Source organism: Homo sapiens, chromosome 3, assembly GCF_000001405.40.
Source record: "Homo sapiens chromosome 3, GRCh38.p14 Primary Assembly".
NCBI classification, from domain to species: domain Eukaryota; kingdom Metazoa; phylum Chordata; class Mammalia; order Primates; family Hominidae; genus Homo; species Homo sapiens.
Window position 1 is genome coordinate 49192066 of NC_000003.12, and position 20554 is coordinate 49212619.

General features: G+C 48.2%; 1 protein-coding gene across 6 annotated transcripts in view, besides 1 other annotated feature; it reads left to right on the top strand.

Annotated features, from left to right (window-relative positions):
• Positions 1-20554, top strand: part of IHO1 (interactor of HORMAD1 1) — a 66798-nt gene that overhangs the window by 757 nt on the left and 45487 nt on the right. The window contains exons 1-4 of one of the 6 annotated variants that reach the window (NM_178173.4): positions 6363-6395; positions 6477-6597; positions 6825-7042; positions 19701-19771. In NM_178173.4, coding sequence (NP_835467.2) covers positions 19716-19771 — 56 coding nt within the window. In that variant the 5' untranslated portion in view covers positions 6363-6395; positions 6477-6597; positions 6825-7042; positions 19701-19715. Of the gene's footprint in view, positions 1-6362; positions 6396-6476; positions 6598-6824; positions 7043-7432; positions 7509-7554; positions 8030-15365; positions 15467-19700; positions 19772-20554 lie in introns of those variants that run through there. The other 5 variants (XM_011533672.3, NM_001135197.2, XM_011533673.3 and 2 more) reach the window with 5 other exon arrangements.
• Positions 637-820: a silencer, noted in NCBI's record as "fragment chr3:49230135-49230318 (GRCh37/hg19 assembly coordinates)". NCBI's record gives its function as "represses an EF-1alpha promoter that drives an FKBP-Casp9 reporter gene in an ReSE screen in K562 erythroleukemia cells {active_cell/tissue: K562}" and the evidence as "EXISTENCE:reporter gene assay evidence [ECO:0000049][PMID:32094911]".

Genomic DNA, 20554 nt, shown 5'->3' on the forward strand with positions numbered 1-20554 from the left:
TGAAATATTCAAAGAACATTTTAAATGCAGGCAAATCCTGCATTTAAAAACCTATGCATCCATACTGCCAGGAATATAAATTTAGAAAGCATTTCATGGAGTCAGAAGAAATGTTAAAGAGGTTGGTGGCTTTTAGGATAAAATTACTGCTTCAGAATAGGCTCTAACAATTTATCTCTTAGGAGTTTGTGGTGACCAGGAATGCTAATCATGACAGGTGAAATGTTACAAGGGCCAAGTAAAGGAATAGGGCATAACAGAACAGAAGAAGGAACATGCAAAGATTTGACATTATGGTTCCATTCTGAGCTACCCTTTGACAAATTTTTGACTGAATTCTCTCTTATTTGTAAAAGAGGGACTTGAACAGTTCACCCCCTTTAACAACCAAAAGAAATTGACAATCAGCCTCTAAACATGTGCCAGTAAAACACCCAAGACCCTGCTAGTGTCAATGGCACAAGCCCTAATATCCAGAATGTCTGCCCCAGTGTAGTCACCCTGGAGAGCCCCTCTCATGCGAACTCACAGGTATTAAAAGGTTCATTGGCCTGGGCTTGGTGGTTCACAACTGTAATCCTAGCAGTTTGGGAGGCCGAGGTGGGCAAATCGCTTGAGCCCAGGAGTTCCAGACCAGTCTGGGCAAAATGGCTAACCTGGTCTCTACAAAAAATACAAAAATCAGCTGGGTGTGGTGGCATATACCTGTAGTTCCAGCTATTTGGGGGACTGAAGTGGGAGGATTGCCTGAGCCTGAGGAGATTGAGGCTGAAGTGAGCTATAATCACATCACTGCACTCCAGCCTGGGTGACAGAATGAGACCCCATCTCAATAAATGAATGAATGAATGAATGAATGAATATTCACTGTAGCATCTATACAAAGGAAAAACTGTAAGCAACCCAAGTGTTGACCAACGGGACAATAAGAAAATTGGGCTATAGTCACACAATGAAATTACTAGCGTTACTATAAATGGGCTACAGATATTAGAATCCACAGAGGTAAATCTTAAAAATGTTGGCCAGGTGCGGTCACTCACGTCTGTAATCCCAGCACTTTGGGAGGTTGAAGTGGGCAGAATGTTTGAGCTCAGGAGTTTGAGACCAGCCTAGGCAACATGGTGAAACTCTGTCTCTACCAAATATACAAAAAATTAACTGGGTGTGGTGGCACACGCCTGCGGTCCCAGCTACTTGGGAGGCTGAGGAGGGAGGATCACTTGAGCCCGGGAAGTGGAGACTGCAGTAAATGGAGATTGCACCACTGTACTCCAGCCTGGGTGACAGAATGAGACCCCCATCTCAAAAACAAAAGAAAACAAAACAAAAACCGTAAAGATGTTGAGTTGGCCGGGAGCGGTAGCTCACGCCTGTAATCCCAGCACTTTGGGAGGCTGAGGCGGGCGGATCACAAGGTCAAGAGATCAAGACCAGCCTGGCCAACATGGTGAAACCCCATTTCTACTAAAAATACAAAAATTAGCTGGGTGTGGTGGCGCCTGTAGTCCCAGCTACGCTACTTGGGAGGCCAAGGAGGAAGAGATCACACCATTGCACTCCAGCCTGGCGACAAAGCGAGACTCTACCAAAAAAAAAAAAAAAAAAAAAAAAAAGGCCAGGTGCAGTGGCTCACGCCTGTAATCCCAGCATTCTGGGAGGCCAAGGTGGGTGGATCACGAGGTTAGCAGTTCGAGACCAGCCTGGCCAACATGGTGAAACCCCGTCTCTACTTAAAATACAAAAATTAGCCAGGCATGGTGGCGCATGCCTGTAGTCCCAGCTACTCAGGAGCCTGAGGCAGAAGAATCGCTTGAACCCGGGAGGCAGAGGTTGCAGTGAGCCGAGATTGTGCCACTGTACTCCAGCCTGGGTGACGGAGTGAGAATCCATCTCAAAAAAAAAAAAAAGAAGTTGAGTCAGACTGGGTGCCGTGGCTCACGTCTGTAGCCCCAGCACTTTGGGAGGCTGAGGCAGGCAGATCATGAGGTCAGGAATTCAAGACCAGCCTGGCCAACATGGTGAAACCCCATCTCTACTAAAAATGGAAAAATTAGCCAGGTGCGGTGGCAGGCACCTGTAATCCCAGCTACTCAGGAGGCTGAGGCAGGAGAATTGCTTCAACCCAGGAGGCAGAGGTTGCAGTGAGTCGAGATCGTGCCATTACACTCCAGTCTAGGCAATGAGAGGGAAACTCTATCTCAAAAAAAAAAAAAAGTACAAAGTGTATATATATATATATATATATATATATTTGAGACGGAGGCTTGCTCTGTTGCCCAGGCTGGAGTGCAGTGGTGTGATCTCGGCTCACTGCAAGCTCCGCCTCCCGGGCTCACACCATTCTCCTGCCTCAGCCTCCTGAGTAGCTGGGACTACAGGTGCCCACCACCCCGCCTGGCTAATTTTTTTTATTTTTAGTAGAGAGGGGGTTTCACTGTGGTCTCGATCTCCTGACCTCGTGATCCACCCACCTCGGCCTCCCAAAGTGCTGAGATTACAGGCGTGAGCCACCGTGCCCAGCCCAAAGTATACCATTTATAAAATCGGCATGGCATGGTGGCTCATGCCTGTAATCCCAGCACTTTGGGAGGCCGAGGTGGGCGAATTGCTTCAGCCCAGGAGTTACAGACCAGCCTGGGCAACATGGCGAAACCCCATCACTACAAAAAATACAAAAATTAGCCAGACATGGTGACGTGCACCTGTGGTCTCAACTATTCGAGAGGCTGAGGTGGGAGGATTGCTTGACCCCGGGAGGGCGAGGCAGCAGTGAGCCATGATTGTGCTACTGCACTCCAGCCTGAGAGACAGAATGAGACCCCGTCTCAAATAAATAAATAAATAAAATAATACAAATATACAAAACAATGCTATGATTTATGGATACAAACATATGAACTGGCTGGGTGTGATGGGTCACTCCTGTAATCCCAGCACTTGGGGAGGCCAAGGCAGGCAGGTTGCTTGAGTCCAGGAGTTCAAGACCAGCCTGGTCAATATGAGACCCTGTCTCTATTTTTACATAAATAAATAATTTTAAAAATGTAATAATTAAAAATAAAAAGCATGGGCTGGCTGCAGTGGCTCTTGCCTGTAATCCCAGCACTTTGGGAGGCCGAAGCGGGCAGATCACCTGAGGTCAGGAGTTCAAGAGTAGCCTGGCCAACATGGTGAAACCCCGTCTCTACTAAAAATACAAAAAAATTAGCTGGGCGTGGTGACATGCGTCTGTAATCCCAGCTACTTGGGAGGCTGAGGCAGGGGAATCGCTTGAACCTGGAAGGCAGAGGTTGCAGTGAGTTGAGATCACGCCATTCCACTCCAGCCTGAGCGACAGAGCAAGACTCCATCTCAAAAAAAAAAAAGAGGCCAGTCGTGGTGGCTCACACCAGTAATCCCAGCACTTTGGGAGGCCAAGGCGGGCAGATCATGAGGTCAGGAGATAGAGACCATCCTGGCTAACACGGTGAAACCCCGTCTCTACTTGACAAAAAAATTAGCTGGGTGTGGTGGCAGTCGCCTGTAGTCCCAGCTACTCAGGAGGCTAAGGCAGGAGAATGGTGTGAACCCAGGAGACCGAGCTTGCAGTGAGCTGAGATCACGCCACTGCACTCCAGCCTGGGCCACAGAGTGAGACTCCATCTCAAAACAACAACAACAACAAAAATAATAAATAAATAATAAATAAATATATAAATAAAGTGTGCATAGGAATGATGGGAAACAAATAACAGGATAGAAATCACCTGGGGGCCAGGCGCGGTGGCTAACGCCTGTAATCACAGCACTTTGGGAGGCCAAGGTGGGCGGATCACGAGGTCAGGAGATGAGACCATCCTGGCTAACACAGTGAAACCCCATCTCTACTAAAAAAAAAAAAATACAGGCCAGGTGTGGGGGCTCATGCCTGTAATCCCAGTACTTTGGGAGGTCGAGGCGGGCGGATCACAAGGTCAGCAGATCGAGAATATCCTGGCTAACACGGTAAAACCTCATCTCTACTAAAAACACAAAAAGAAATTAGTTGGGCTTGGTGGCAGGTGCCTGTAGTCCCAGCTACTCAGGAGGCTGAGAATGGCATGAACCCGAGAGGCAGAGCTTGCAGTGAGCCAAGATCGCACCACTGCACTCCAGCCTGGGCGACAGTAAGACTCCGTCACAAAAAAAAAAAAAAAAAATCACCTGGGGAGGGGAGCAAGGGGAATGGTATCAGGGAGGACCGAATGGAGCTTCAACTCTATCTGTAACGTTTTTACTTTTTTTTTTTTTTTTGAGACAGTCTCACTGTTGCCCAGGCTGGAGTGCAGTGGCGCGATCTCGGCTCACTGCAACCTCCACCTCCCGGGTTCACGCCATTCTCCTGCCTCAGCCTCCCAAGTAGCTGAGACTATAGGCGCCCACCACCACGCCCGGCTATTTTTTTTCTTTTTTTGAGGTGAAGTCTTGCTCTGTCGCCCAGGCTGGAGTGCAATGGCATGACCTCGGCTCACTGCAACCTCTGCCTCCTGGGTTCAAGTGATTCTTGTGGCTTAGCCTCCCCAGTAGCTGGGATTACAGGCGTGCGCCACCACACCTGGCTAATGCTTTGTATTTTTATTGATTGATTGATTGATTTTTTTTGAGACCGAGTCTCGCTCTGTCACCCAGGCTGGAGTGCAGTGGTGCGATCTCAGCTCACTGCAACCTCTGCCTCCTGGGTTCACGCCATTCTCCTGCCTCAGCCTCCCAAGTAGCTGAGACTACAGGCGCCCACCACCACGCCTGGCTAATTTTTTGTATTTTTAGTAGAGACGGGGTTTCGCTGTGTTAGCCAGGATGGTCTCCATCCCCTGACCTCGTGATCTGCCCGCCTCGGCCTCCCAGGGTGCTGGGATTACAGGAGTGAGCCACTGCGCCAGGCCACGTTTTTACTTTTTTTTTTTTTTTTTTTGAGATGGAGTCTCGCTCTGTTGCCCAGGCTGGAGTGCCGTGGCGCCATCTCGGCTCACTGCAACCTCCGCCTCCCAGGTTCAAACGATTCTCCTGCCTCAGCCTCCCGAGTAGCTGGGGCTACAGGCTCGTGCCACCACAGCCGGCTAATTTTTTTTTTTTTTTTGTATTTTTTGTAGAGACGGGGTTTCACCGTGTTAGCCAGGATGTTCTCAATCTCCTGACCTCGTGATCTGCCCACCTTGGCCTCCCAAAGTGCTGGGATTACAGGCATGAGCCACCATGCCCAGGCCATTTTTACTTAAAAAAAATGTGTTTTAGACAGTCTCGCTCTGTTGCTCAGGCTTCAGTGCAGTGGCATGATCATGGCTCACTCTAACCTCAAACTCCTGGACTCAAGGGATCCTCCCACCTTGGCCTCCCAAAGTTCTGGGATTACAGGCATGAGCTATGGTGTCCAGCCATGTTTTAATTTTTATAGCTTTATTTAGGTAAAATTAATACATGATAAACTGCACATATTGAAAATGTACAATTTGATGCATTTCGATATATGTATACACCTCTGAAACACTGCCATCAAGAGAGTAAATATGGCCAGGCGTGGTGGCTCACACCTGTAATCCCAGCACTTTGGGAGGCTGAGGTGGGTGGATCACCTGAGGTCTGGAGTTTGAGACCAGCCTGACCAACATGGAGAAACCCTGTCTCTACTAAAAATACAAAATTAACTGGGTGTGGTGGCAGGCACCTGTAATCCCAGCTACTTGGGAGGCTGAGGTAGGAGAATCGCTTGAACCTCAGAGGTGGAGGTTGTGGTGAGCCGAGATTGTGCCATTGCACTCCAGCCTGGGTGAAACTCCTGAGAGTGAAACTCCATCTCAAAAAAAAAAAAAAAGAAGAAGAAGATAGTAAATATGTTCATCACCCCAAGTTTCCTTCTGCCTAGTCGTAATCTTTCCTTATGGCACTCATTTGCCTCAGGCAATGCCACACCTCTGCTTTCTGTCACTATAGATTAATTTGCATTTTCTCGAATTTTATATAAATGGGATCATACAGTATGTATTCTTTTGTGTTTGGCTTTCACTCAGCGTAATTATTTTGAAATTTATTCATGTTGTTGTATCCATTGTTCATTCCTTTTTATTGCTTAGTAGTTGTCCATTGTATGGATATGCCAAATCTCTCCTCTTGATTTTTTGAATCCATACACAAATCAGGTTTTCATCCTCACTACATCACTGTAACTGCTCCTACCAAGGTCACTCAAAGTTAATTCTAACTAATCTTCCCTGAACACATCCGCAGCATTTGTCATAGCTGATCTCTGCCTCCTCTTTGAAGCAGTTCCAAGTGCCTTCCAGAATGCCTCATTCTCCTGGTGTCTTTCCCCGTCTCCTGACCAGGCTTGCTCCAACTCCTTGGCTGCTTTTCCTTCATCTCCAAAGTCCTCTAAACTGGTGTGTCCTGGGGCTGAATCCAATCTCCTTTCCATTTATACTCCATTGGTGATTGCATCCTGTTTTTGTTTGTTTTTTGAGACAGGGTCTCATTCTGTCGCCCAGGCTGGAGTGTAGTGACGCGATCTCGGCTCACTGCAACCTCTACCTCCCAGGTTCAAACGATCCTCCCGCCTCAGCCTCCGAGTAGCTGGGACCACAGGCATGTGTTACCACGCCGGACTAATTTTTTGTAGAGCTGGGGTTTCGCCATGCTGCCCAGGCTGGTCTCAAGCATGTTTTTTGCTTTCTAAGTCATCTATAAGCACCAGAGGCAGAGTTACATAGATCCTTCCTGCCTACCCGCACTGTCCCTGCCCTCAGGCCACTCCAGCATCCAGCAGGCCAGAAACCTCAGAAGATTTCTTGCCTCCTTTCTCTTTCCTCCAGGGGCCCGGTTCGATGTCCCCATCTGCCCACGGCGCCTCTCGTGCCAGCTGCTCCGCCTGTCCTGCCCTTGCTCAGACCACCCAAGTATCATCTGTGCTCTGGCCCCTGGCCACCAGTTCCACCCCACATGCTGTCCTCACAGGTGGCGCCTTGCCATTCCTGGGGACCAGGGCCTCCTTGTTCTGGTCATACACAGTGGAGTGTAGGTCGAGCGACAAGTGAGTAGATCTGCATGCCAGGTGGGCCGAGGGTGGCCATTCCGGCGTGAGTGTGGGGGTGTGAGGGAACGTTGCATGGGGTGCACGTGGGCTGGGTGTGGCGTGCAGCGGTGTGGCGCCAGGCAGGCAGCTTGGCGGGGCCCACAATCAGCGCGGTTGAGACCATTAGTACGGTTAAAACCGTTAGCTGCCTGTCGCGGCGAGGGCGGGGCCCTGGGGACTGGACGGAATCCCAGTTGGTCAGAGGAGACCCTGGGGGCGGGGCCGCGCGAGTTGCCGTTAGGACAGTTAAAACCGTTAGCTGCCTGTCGTGGCGGGGCGGGGCCCTGGGACAGGACGGAATCCCTATTGGTCAGAAGAGGACCTGGGGGCGGGGCCGCGCGTGCCGTTGCAGAGGCAGCGGGACGCGGCCACCTCGAAGCCACGTCAGGGCAGCCCCAGGTCGGGCGCGTGCCAGCAGCCAGAGGTGGGGACAGGAGGGCTTTGGGCAGGGTGGGTTGGGGAAAGGCGGGGGGAGGGGCTGAGGAGCCGGATGGGGCCGTGGGTCTGGGTTCAGGATACCAGCGGTCCTCCCGGGCTTTCCCGGGACGTTGGTCTTGTAGTCCCTCCCCTGCCCTTTCTTTCCCTATGGCGATGGCCGCTCTGGCTCTTGAAGGAGGCTTCACTTCCGCGCTTATCCTTGGAGAGCAGTTTTCATCCGATTCGCAGGGGTCCGCGACCTCCTATCCCAGATCCCCGCCTGGAGTTGAGGAGTGAGACCGGGTACGCCCCGGGAGCCAGAGTGAGCGGAGACCCAGAGAAGCCCGCTGGGATTTCTCTTTGATTATGAGTAGGGAAAACCCTGTGAGGCCTCTGGAAAGACATCAGAAGGATTTAGTCTAGGAGCTCAGAGCGTGTCTCCAGGTGGAGAAGAGGCGGAAAATGAGAGAGGCGGCCGGCCATTAGTGTTTGAGGCGGGCCGGTGGCCACAGGGGGCCTGAAGTCTGAGTAAGAGACCTGATTTTTTCTGCTAGAACTTTCTGCAGTGGAGGAACGGGAGGGGCACCTGGAGGGCCTCACATCGCAGCCTCAAGAATCTCGCAGTAGGCCGGCTGCGGTGGCTCACGCCACACTTTGGGAGGCTGAGGCAGGCGGATCTCCTGAGGTCAGGAGCTCGAGACCAGCCTGGCCAACATAGCGAAAACCCGTCTCTACTAAAAATACAAAAATTAGCAGGGCGTGGTGGCGCATGCCTGTAATCCCAGCTACTTGGGAGGCTGAGGCAGGAGAATCACTAGAACCTGGGAGGCGGAGGTGGCAGTGAGCTGAGATCGCGCCACTGCACTCCAGCCTGGGCGACAGAGTGAGACTCGGTCTCAAAAAAAAAAAAAAGAAAGAAAGAAAGAAAGAAAGAAAGAAAGAAAGAAAGAAAAGAAAAAAGATTGTCGCAGTAGAGTTGACGACGGTGGTCAGATGAGGTAGTCCATGCCAATCGGGGCGGTCCTCTCCCCCTCACGTGTTCCTCCCTTGTGTACCCACCCTGCCAGGGCCCTTCCCTTGTATATAGTTCCATTCCTTGCATGCACTCAACTTTTTCTCCCCTTTTATGCTTCCTTTAATAGGAAAGAGAGTGAGAGGTGAAAGTTTTTAATCTGTGCATTTCAGTTTTCATTTACCTTGGAATGACCGTGTTCCACCTTAGAACGAATACCTCTTCCTTACTAGTGCTGTACTAGCATCTTCAAGGAGAGCTTTAGAGAGATGGGATTTCCATCCTCTGGGAATTTAAAAGCCTATACAGGTAGCATGGAGATAAATACATGTACAAAAGAGAGATGAACCTGAGTTTGAGTACATCAAGCCCCAGCTGGTTCTTAGACATATTGAGAATAAGGGTGTACTTACCACAGTTTTTTGTTTTTTTTGAGACGGAGTCTCGCTTTGTTGCCCAGGCTGGAGTGCAGTGGCACGATCTCTGCTCACTGCAAGCTCCGCCTCCCAGGTTCACGCCATTCTCCTGCCTCAGCCTCCCAAGTAGCTGGGACCACAGGCACCCGCCACCACACCCGGCTAATTTTTTGCATTTTTAGTAGAAACGGGGTTTCACCGTGTTAGCCAGGATGGTCTCGATCTCCTGACCTCGTGATCCGCCTTTCTCAGCCTCCCAAAGTGCTGGGATTACAGGCATGAACCACCGCACCCGGCCATTTACCACAATTTTTAAAAATTGGGCCGAGTTGGCTGTGCGCGGTGGCTCATGCCTATAATCCCAGCACTTTGGGAGGCCAAGGCGGGTGGATCACCTGAGGTCAGAAGTTCAAGACCCAGAAGTTCAAGACCAGTCTGGCCAACATGGTGAAACCCTGTCTCTACTAAAAATACAAAAATTAGCCAGGTGTGGTAGCACACGCCTGTAATCCCAGCTACTCGGGAGGCTGAGGCAGGAGAATCACTTGAACCTGGGAGATGGAGGTTGCAGTGAGCCAAGATCGCGCCACTCCACTCCAGGCTGGTCGACAAAGCGAGACTGCATCCCAAAAAAAATTGGGCTGGGTGTGGTGGCTCACGCCTGTAAATCACAGCACTTTGGGAAGCCGAGGCGGGTGAATCACTTGAGCTCAGGAGCGTGAGACCTGCCTGAGCAACATGGTAAACCTCTGTCTCTACCAAAAATACAAAAAATTAGCCAGGTATGATGGCGTGCACCTGTGGTCCAAGCTACTCAGGAGTCTGAGTTGGGAAGATTGCTTGAGCCTGATAGGTGGAGGTTGTAGTGAGCCAAGATCGCAACATTGCACTCCAACCTGGTTAATAGAGTGAAGCCCCAGCTCAAAAGGAAAGAAAACCATATATTTTAAATTTGTGACTATTTGGCATGTTTTGCTCCACAAAATCTAGTTGTAATTTAGTTCCTAAGTTTTTAACTCATTAAACAAGAAATGTTTTCAGAGCTCCTATTATGTTCCAGGAATGATTTTTAGGTTCTAGGGCTGTAGTAGTAAATAAAGAAAAAATTATTGTCCTCAAAAGAGCTTAATATTACATTCTAGTAAACATGGATATCTGTAGAGACAGAAAAGACAAGTTAATAGTGTATTAGAATGATGTAGTGTTACATTAGAATGATGTAGTATTACACTATTAGAATAGTGTAATAGTGTATTAGAATGATGATGTGTTGCAGAGAAAAAAGCAGGGGAGAGCCATAGTGATTGTCAAGAGGTTACTTCTTTTTAATTTTTTTTTTTTTTTTTTTTTGAGAAGAGTCTTGCTCTGTCGCCCAGGCTAGAGTGCAGTGGCGCGATCTCTGCTCACTGCAAGCTCCACCTCCTGGGTTCGCGCCATTCTCCTGCCTCAGCCTCCTGAGTAGCTGGGACCACAGGTGCCTGACACCATGCCCGGCTAATTTTGTGTGTGTGTGTGTGTGTGTGTGTGTGTGTGTGTGTGTGTGTGTGTGTGTTTCATATTTTTAGTAGAGATGGGGTTTCACCGTGTTAGCCAGGATGGTCTCGATCTCCTGACCTCGTGATCTGCCCACCTCGGCCTCCCAAAGTGCTGGGATTACAGGCGTGAACCACCGCACCCAGCCAATTATTTTTATTTTTTTCAGATAGAGTCTCGCTCTCTCACCCAGGCTGGAGTACGATGGCGCAGTCTTGGCTCACTGCAACCTCCGCCTCCTGGGTTCAAGCGATTCTCCTGCCTCAGCCTCCCAAGTAGCTGGAACTACAGGTGTGGACTACCACGTCCAGCTAATTTTTTGTATTTTTTTTTTTTTTTTTTTTTTGAGACGGAGTCTCGCTCTGTCGCCCAGGCCGGACTGCGGACCGCAGTGGCGCAATCTCGGCTCACTGCAAGCTCCGCTTCCCGGGTTCACGCCATTCTCCTGCCTCAGCCTCCCGAGTAGCTGGGACTACAGGCGCCCGCCACCGCGCCCGGCCAATTTTTTGTATTTTTTTTAGTAGAGATGGGGTTTCACCATGTTGCCCAGGTGGGTCTTGAACTCCAGAGCTCAGACAATCCTCCTGCCTCAGCCTCGCGAAGTGCTAGGATTACAGGTGTGAGCTACCACTCCTGGCCTAGAGGTTACAAGTTTGAATAAGTAATTTGAAGGAGATAGAGTTGTCTGTCATGCTGATATCTGAGGGAGGAGTGCACCAAAATGAGGGTGCAGCACGCAAAAGCGACATGAAACTGCTTGTGCCCAGCAAGGGAAAACAACAGTGAGGAGCCCCATAAGAGGCATGCAACAGGGTATAGATGGGAATGGTGGAGGGCTATGGGGAGATTACAGATGCCCCTGTAGGTAATCATAGATAATTCTGGCTTTTATTTTGTGTAGGGTAAGAGCAGTGGAGGATTTGAGCAGAAGGACTATGTGATCTGACTTAAGGTTACTGTAACTCTGGCTGCTTTGTAGGGAAGAGACTGGAGTGGGACAAGGGTGAAATCAGGGAGAGTGGTTAGGAGGCCATTGCAATAATCCAGGCTGGTGGCAGTGGAGTAGGGTTGCCGCATTTAGCAAATAAAAATACAGGACACCCAGTTAAATTTGAATTTAAGGTAAACAATATTTTTTGTATGTCTCATGTAACATTGGGAAATTCAAATTTTACTTGGTATTCTATTTTATCTGGCAACCTCCAGTTGCCAGAAAGGAGGGAGTGAGGAGTGGTCAAATTCTAGATATATTTTGAAGGAATTAGTATAGTATTTGCTGACAGATTGGATGTGAGACTAAGAAAAGGGAATTGAGGAGGACTTAGATTTTGGCCTGAGCACCTGGAAGATGGAAGTGTCCTTAAATAAAATGGGAAGACCACAGGAGGAGAGTGCTTAGGGGAAGTTATGAGGATCTTGGCTTTGAACATTGTCTTAGTCCGTTTTGTGTTGCTATAACTGAATATCACAGCTAGGTGATTTAAATAAATTTATTTCTCACAGTTTTTGAGGCTAGAAAGTTCAATATCAAGGTACCAGTATCTGGAGCTCACTTTTATAACAACCCACTCTAGTGATAATGAACTCACTTCTGAATGCACTCCGGTTTACCCACTTACATTAATCTATTCATGAGGCTGGAGTCCTCATGGCCTAATCACCTCTTAACAGTCCTACCTCTTAATACTATCACAATGGTAATTAAATTTCAACATAAGTTTTTGGAGGGGACATTTAAAACATAGCATTCAGCTACGTGGGTTCAGCATGTGAAAGCTGCATATATGGAGGGCCAGTTTTTCATATATACTAGTTCTGCAGGGCTGGCTTCTGGACTTGAGTGTATGTGGATTTTGGTATATTGTTGGGGTCGGGCTGTGTCCTGGAACCAATCCTCCACATATGCAGAGGGACAACTGTAGTTCCCTTAACTGAGGTTAATGATTACTAGTTATGTGAAGGGATCCCCCCAAAATTTTATACTTTCCTTCTGAAAGAATTTTGGTGATGAGGAGCTGTAATCTGAAAGGGGCTTTTTCTGAGAGCTTATGGAGGAAAGTAAGGCAGATGAAATGATGCTTTGTTGGGGAAGATGTTACCAGAAAGGGGTCCCAGTCCAGACTCCAAGAAGGGGTTCTTGGATGTCTCACAAGAAAATTTGGAGCAAGTCTACAGAGTAGAGTGAAAGCAAGTTTATTAAGAAAGTAAAGAACTGGGCCGGGCGTGGTGGCTCACGCCTGTAATCCCAGCACTTTGGGAGGCTGATGTGGGCAGATCACAAGGTCAGGAGTTGAAGATCAGCCTGGCCAATATGGTGAAACCCCATCTCTACTAAAAAAAAATACAAAAAATTAGTCGGGCGTGGTGGCAGGTGCCTGTAGTCCCAGCTACTTAGGAGGCTGAGGCAGGAGAATCACTTGAACCCGGAAGGCGGAGGTTGCAGTGAGCCGAGATCGTGCCACTGCACTCCAGCCTGGGCAACAGAGCAAGACTCCATCTCAAAAAAAAAAAAAGAACGAAAGGAATGACTACTCCATAGAGCAGTCCCAAAAGCGGCTGGTTGGCTATTTTTATGGTTATTTCTTGATCATATGCTAAACAAGGGGTGGATTATTCATCAATTTTCTGGGAAAGGGGTGGAGATTTCCAAGAACAGGTTTCCTCTTCCTTTTAGATCATATAGGGTAACTTCTGGATATTGCCATGGCATTTGTAAACTGTCATAGCGCTGGTTGGAGTGTCTTTTTAGCATGCTAATGCGTTATAATTAGCTATGATATGCGGTGAGGGCGACCAGAGGTCACTTTTTTTTTTTTTTTGAGACACTGTCACCCAGGCTGGAGTGCCGTGGTACAATCTCTGCTCACTGCAACCTCTGCCTTCTGGTTTCAAGCGATTCTCCTACCTCAGCCTCCTGAGGAGCTGAGATTACAGGCGCGTACCAACACGCCTGGTGAATTTTTGTATATTTTTAGTAGAGATGGGGTTCCACCATGTTGACCAGGCTGGTCTCGAATTGCTGACCTCGAGTGCTGCGATTACAGCGTGAACCACTATGCCTGGCCGTAATTTTTTTTTTTTTTTTGAGACAGAGTTTGCTCTGTTACCCAGGCTGGAGTGTGGAGTACAGTGGCACAATCTCAGCTCATTGCAGCCTCCACCTCCTGGTTCAAGCTTTTCTTCTGCGTCAGCCTCCTGAGTAGCTGGGATTACAGGAGTGAGCCACTGCGCCTGGGCAATTTTTTTTTTTTTTTTTTTGTGAGATGGGGTCTTGCTCTGTCGCCCAGGCTGGAGTGCAGTGGCGCAATCTCGGCTCACTGCCACCTCCACCTCCTGGGTTCAAGCAATTCTCTTGCCTCAGCCTCCTGAGTAGTTGGGACTACAGGCACGTGCCACCACGTCCAGCTAATTTTTGTATTTTTTTTTCTTTTCTTTCTTTCTTTTTTTTCTTTTTGAGACGGAGTCTCGCTCTGTCTCCCAGGCTGGAGTGCAGTGGCGCGATCTCGGCTCACTGCAAGCTCCACTTCCTGGGTTCGCGCCATTCTCCTGCCTCAGCCTCCCGAGTAGGTGGGACTACAGGCGCCCACCACCATGCCTGGCTAATTTTTTTGTATTTTTAGTAGAGACGGGGTTTCACCATGTTAGCCAGGATGGTCTCGATCTCCTGACCTCATGATCCACCCGCCTCGGCCTCCCAAAGTGCTGGGATTACAGGCATGAGCCCCTGCGCCCAGCAATTTTTGTATTTTTAGTAGAGATGGGATTTCACCATATTGGTGAGGCTGGTCTTGAACTCTTGACCTCGTGATCCGCCCACCTCGGCCTCCCAAAGTTCTGGGATTACAGGCGTGAGCCACCGCTCCCGGCCATTTTTGTATTTTTAATAGAGATGGGGTTTCACCATGTTGGCCAGGCTGGTCTCGAACTCCTGACCTCAAGTGATCCACCCACCTCGGCCTCCCAAAGTGCTGGGATTACAGGCATGACCACTGCACCCGGCCCAGAGGTCACTTTAATTGCCATCTTGGATTTGGCGGGTTTTGAACAGCTACTTTCTTGCATTTTTTGTGATGAGCAGGGCCTTTGTGACCTGTATCGTTGCTGACCTATCTCATCCTGTGACTAAGAATGCCTAATCTCCTGAGAATGCAGCTCAGGTCCCAGCTTCATTTTACCTAGCCCCTACTCAAGATAGAGTTGCTCTGGTTCAAATGCCTCTGACAGGCTGGATGCAGTGGCACACACCTGTCATCTCAGCACTTTGGGAGGCCAAGGCAGGTGGATCACCTGAGGTCAGAAGTTCAAGACCCAGAAGTTCAAGACCAGCCTGGCCAACATGGTGAAACCCTGTGTCTACTAAAAATACAAAAATTAGCTAGGTGTGGTGGCAGATGCCTGTAATCCCAACTACTTGGGAGGCTGAGGCAGGAGAATTGCTTGAACCCAGGAGGCAAATGTTGCAGTGAGCCGAGATCGTGCCATTGCACTCCAGCCTGGGTGACAGAGCAAGACTCTGTCTCAAAAAAAAAAAAAAAAAAAAGCCTCTGACAAAAAATGTGTGGAATACAGGTGGACAGATGAGAGTGGGTAGGAAAAGCCAAGCTCATCTGCTTTAGTTTGTTACTTGATGACCGGTTATATTATTACCTTGTTTCATGTTGAAACTAGATCATGCATCAGCCAGCCCTGTGTTCTCGGAGCATTTTTTTCTTTCTGGTGAGGTTTTTTTTTTTTTTTGAGACGGAGTCTCACTCTGTCTCTAGGTGGGAGTGCAGTGGTGTGATCTCGGCTCACTGCAAACTCTGCCTCCCAGGTTCAAGGGATTCTCCTGCCTCAGCCTCCCGAGTAGCTGGGACTACAGGTGCATGCCACCACGCCTAGCTAATTTTTGTATTTTTAGTAGAGACAGGATTTCACCATGTTGGCCTGGAGGGTCTCAATCTTTTGACCTTGTGATCTGCCCACCTCGGCCTCCCAAAGTGCTGGGATTACAGGTGTGATCTGGTGAGTTTTAGTCCTTGTAACTCATGCTGCATATTTTAGAAGCTGCCGATTTAATACTGGAATATTAACCAGGTATTCTGCAATATAATTTGTAGCATACCTTAGTCTGCCATTATTCAAAATTGTGATTGTTTCTAAAGAAATGTCTGTTTTTCAGCCCTTGTAAACGTTTAAAAATTTCTAGCCTTTTCCTTAAATAAAAATAGTCCTCATGATTCCTTTATTAATTTCTACATATAATATTTCTTTTTTTTTTTTTTGAGATGGAGTCTCGCTCTGTCACCCATGGTGGAGTGCAGTGGTGCGATCGCGGTTCACTGCAAGCTCCGCTTCGTGGGTTCATGCCATTCTCCTGCCTCAGCCTCCTGAGTAGCTGGGACTACAGGCGCCTGCCACCACGCCTGGCTAATTTTTGTATTTTTAGTAGAGACGGGGTTTCACCACGTTAGCCAGGATGGTCTCGATCTCCTGACCTTTTGATCCGCCCGCCTCGGCCTCCCAAACTGCCGGGATTACAGGCGTGAGCCACTGTGCCCGGCCAAATTTCTACATATAATATTTCTAAATCAGTTTGGGTTTAGCAATAACTTGTATCTCTTAAGGGAAACATGCTTTTCTGTGTGTTCTTGCTCTGCACACAGTTATTTCTTTCTGCCACTGTGGAATAAGCAGACCTCCATTACAATGCAATTTAGTTCCCTAGAACAGGGGTCTCCAACACCCAGGCCCCGGACCAGTACCAGTCAGTCCATGGCTTGTTAGGAACCAGGCCACACAGCAGGAGGTGAGCAGTGGGCCAGCCTGAGCTCTATCTCCTGTCAGGTCAGTGGCAGCATTAGATTCTCATAGGAGTGTGCATGAACCTTATTGTGAACTGCACATGCAAGGGATCTAGGTTGTGCACTCCTTATGAGACTCTAATGCCTGATGATCTGAGGTGGAACAATTTCATTTTGAAACCATCCCCAACCCCACCCGCAACCAATGTCCATGGAAAAATTGTCTTCCACAAAACTTGTCCCTGGTGCCAAAAAGGTTGGGAACTGCTGCCCTAGGACTCAAGGTCAGAGACCTAATGCCTGAGGGAAGAGAGTTTGCTTTCCATCCTGAGAAATCACCCTTAGCCATATTTTGCTAATTTGACCCATAATCACCTCTATGTGTTTTTTTTATCTTTATTCAGCTAACAAAGAACTTGCTTACTTTGCTCCTATTCTGTTTTCCCCACTTATGCTGTCCAGAGTTGCAACCTTTGTAAATCTAAACATCGACATCTCAAAATCCACTACCAACAGAGAGGGTACATGGGGCTTGATCCACTCAAGAGCAAGGAACAGTGTACTTTTTATGTAAACCATTGGAAAACTCCATACTTCATAGAAAGTATAAAATTGGATGATCTAAAGACCTCTTGTGTGGTAGGGGTTGAACAGTCATGACTGAATATAATTGACAGCTTCCTGACCTTTGTAGGACATCTTTCTTCTGGTTGAATTCTGGGAAGATGGACATCTCAGGCTTGGGTAAACCATGTGGTAAACACAGACATGCTGCACAAGTAAAGGCAGGATAACTAATCAAAAGGAAGAAATGTTACTTCATCTTCTACCACACATATATTGAATCTCTCCTGTTTAATCCAGTTAACTGGAGTTGCTGGTTTCATTCTCAACATTAAGGGGGGAGTTTGGTCATGTAGACTGAGAGAGACTACCTTTTTTACCTTCTAGTCATACAGGACCTCCTTAGACTCACCCCTTTGATGCTGGCACACTGTCAGATACCTGGAACTATAAGGGCCTTTTAAATGCTTGCATTTCTGGCTGGGCACAGTGGCTTACGCCTGTAATCCCAGCACTTTGGGAGGCCAAGGCAGGTGGATCACTTGAGGTCAGGAGTTCGGCCCAACCTGGTCAACATGGTGAGACCCTGTCTCTACTTAAAAAAAAAAAAAATTAGCCAGGAGTGACAGCACATGCCTGTAATTGCGGCTACTCAGGAGGCTGAGGCAGGAGAATAGCTTGAGCCCGGGAGGCAGCGGTTGCAGTTAGCTAAGATAACACCACTGCATTCCAGCCTGCGTGACAGAGTGGGACTTCATCTAAAAAAAAAAAAGGCTTGTATTTCTAATTCCATGAGTATAAGGTATTTTGAGGTTTATATGTATTTGCAAAAAGCAAATGACATGTCTTTTTTTTTTTGAGAAGGAGTCTTGCACTGTCGCCCAGGCTGGAGTGCAGTGGTGTGATCTCGGCTCACTGCAAGCTCTGCCTCCCGGGTTCATGCCATTCTCCTGCCTCAGCCTCCCAAGTAGCTGGGACTACAGGAGCCCACCACCATGCCCGGCTAATTTTTTATATTGTTTTAGTAGAGACAGGGTTTCACCGTGTTAACCAGGATAGTCTCGATCTCCTGACCTCGTAATCCACTTGCCTTGGCCTCCCAAAGTGCTGGGATTACAGGCATGAGCCACCGCACCCAGCCTCTTTCTTTCTTTCTTTTTTTTTTTTTTTAAGAGACAGGGTCTTGCTTTGTTGCCTGGGCTGGAATGCAGTGGTGGGATCACAGTTTACAGAAGCCTTGAATTCCTGGGCTCAAGTGATCCTGCCGCCTCAGCCTCCCAAGTAGCTGAGACTACAGGTGTATGTTGCCATGCCTAGCTTGTTTATTTATTTAAATTTTTTATTTTTAATTTTTTGACATAGTTTGAGAGATAATTTTTTGAGATTTTTTTTTTCTTCGTCGCCCAAGCTGGAGTATAGTGGCACAATCTTAGCTCACTACAGCCTTGACCTCTTGGGCTCAAGTGATCCTCCCATCTCAGCCTCCCAAGTAGGTGGGACTATAGGCTTGTGCCACCACACCCTGCTAATTTTTTTTTTTTGAGGCAGAGTCTCACTCGATCGCCCAGGCTGGAGTGCAGTGGCACGATCTTGGCTCACTGCAACCTCTGCCTCCCCGGTTCCAGTGATTCTCCTCCTCAACCTCCTGAGTAGCTGGGATTACAGGCACCCGCCACCACACCCAGCTAATTTTTTTGTATTTTTAGTAGAGACAGGGTTTCTTCATGTTGGCCAGGCTGTTCTCAAACTCCTGACCTCAAATGATCCACCTGCCTCTGCTTCCCAAAGTGCAGGGATTACAGGCGTGAGCCACTGCGCCCGGCTTTTTTTTTTTTTTTTTGAGATGGGGTCTCACTCTGTCGCCCCAGGCTGGAGTGCAGTCGTGTGACCTTGGCTCACTGCAACCTCTGCCTCCTGGGTTCAAGCAATTCTCCTGCCTCAGCCTCCCAAATAGCTGGGACTACAGGCACGTCCCACCACACCCAGGTAATTTTTGTATTTTTAGTAGAGACAGGGTTTCACCATGTTAGCCAGGATGGTCTGGATCTCCTGACCTAGTGATCCACCCGCCTCGGTCTCCCAAAGTGCTGGGATTACACATGTGAGCCACTGCTCCTGGCCTCTCCATTTAGTTTTTTTTTTTTTTTTTTTGAGCTGGGGTCTCGCTCTGTCGCCCAGGCTGGAGTGCAGTGGCGCGATCTCGGCTCACTGCAAGCTCCACCTCTTGTGTTCATGCCATTCTCCTGCCCCGGCCTCCTGAGTAGGTGGGACTACAGGCACCCACCACCACGCCTGGCTAATTTTTTGTATTTTTTAGTAGAGACGGGGTTTCACCCTGTTAGCCACGATGGTCTTGATCTCCTGACCTAGTGATCCGCCCTCCTCGGCCTCCCAAAGTGCTGGGATTACAGGCGTGAGCCACTGCGCCCGGCTTCCATTTAGTTCTAATTTGATTTCTGTCATCAGAGTTTTGTAGTTTTCCTCATATAGATATTGTATATATTTTGTCACAGTTATACCTAAGTATTTCTTTTTTGGGGGTGCAAATATAAATGGTTTTGTGTTTCTATTTATTTACTTATTTTTTTTGAGACAGTGGCATGATACAAAAATTAGCCAGGTGTGGTGGCGGGTGCTTGTAATCCCAGCTACTCAGAAGAATTGCTTGAACCTAGGAGGCAAAGGTTGCAGTGAGCCAAGATCGAGCCACGGCACTCCAGACTGGGTGACAAGAGCAAAACTCCGTCTCAAAAAAAAAAAACAGAAATTTTCACTAATTGGATGGGAATATAGCTGCTGGAATGTCTTCGTGTACATATAATAGTCACTAGTAATCTTTGGAAAAAATTATACTGTTAACTTTCTTAATATTCACCTATTCTTTCTAATAGGTATAACTATAAGAAATGAATTTTAATGTCTGGAATATCAAAGAGATGCTCAGTATTCCTTCAGGCTCTGGGTAAGTTTTCTGGTTATATTGTCTGATCCTTAAGAGGATTTTCTGGCCGGGCATGATGGCTCACACCTGTAATCCCAGCACTTTGGGAGGCCAAGGTGGGCAGATCACAAGATCAGGAGATCAGGACCATCCTGGCTAACACGGTGAAACCCCGTCTCTACTAAAAATACAAAAAAATTTAGCCGGGCATGGTGGCGGGTGCCTATAGTCCCAGCTACTCAGGAGGCTGAGGTAGGAGAATGGCGTGAACCTGGGAGGTGGAGCTTGCAGTGAGCCGAGATTGCGCCACTGCACTCCAGCCTGGGCGACAGAGCGAGACTCCGTCTCAAAAAAAAAAAAAAAAAAAAGGATTTTCCAGTTTCATTGATTTCATAGAAAATGGGTTCCTGGTCAGGCATGGTAGCTCACGCCTATAATCCCAGCACTTTGAGAGGCCCAGGTGGGTGGATCACCTGAGGTGATCAGGAGTTCACGACTAGCTTGGCCAACGTGGCAAAACCCCATCTCCACTAAAAAAAAAAATACAAAGAGTAGCCAGGCAAGGTGGTGTGCACCTGTAATCTCAGCTACTGGGGAGGCTGAGGCAGGAGAACTGCTTGAACCTGGGAGGCGGAGCTTGTGGTGGGCTGAGATTGCGCCACTGCACTCTAGCCTGGGCAACAGAGTGAGACTCAATCTCAAAAAAAAAAAAAAAAAGAGGGTTCCCTTCCCATCAGGTTATAATAATGGAAGTGTGTCCAGAATTGGTGGGTTCTTGGTTTCACTGACTTCAAGAATGAGGCC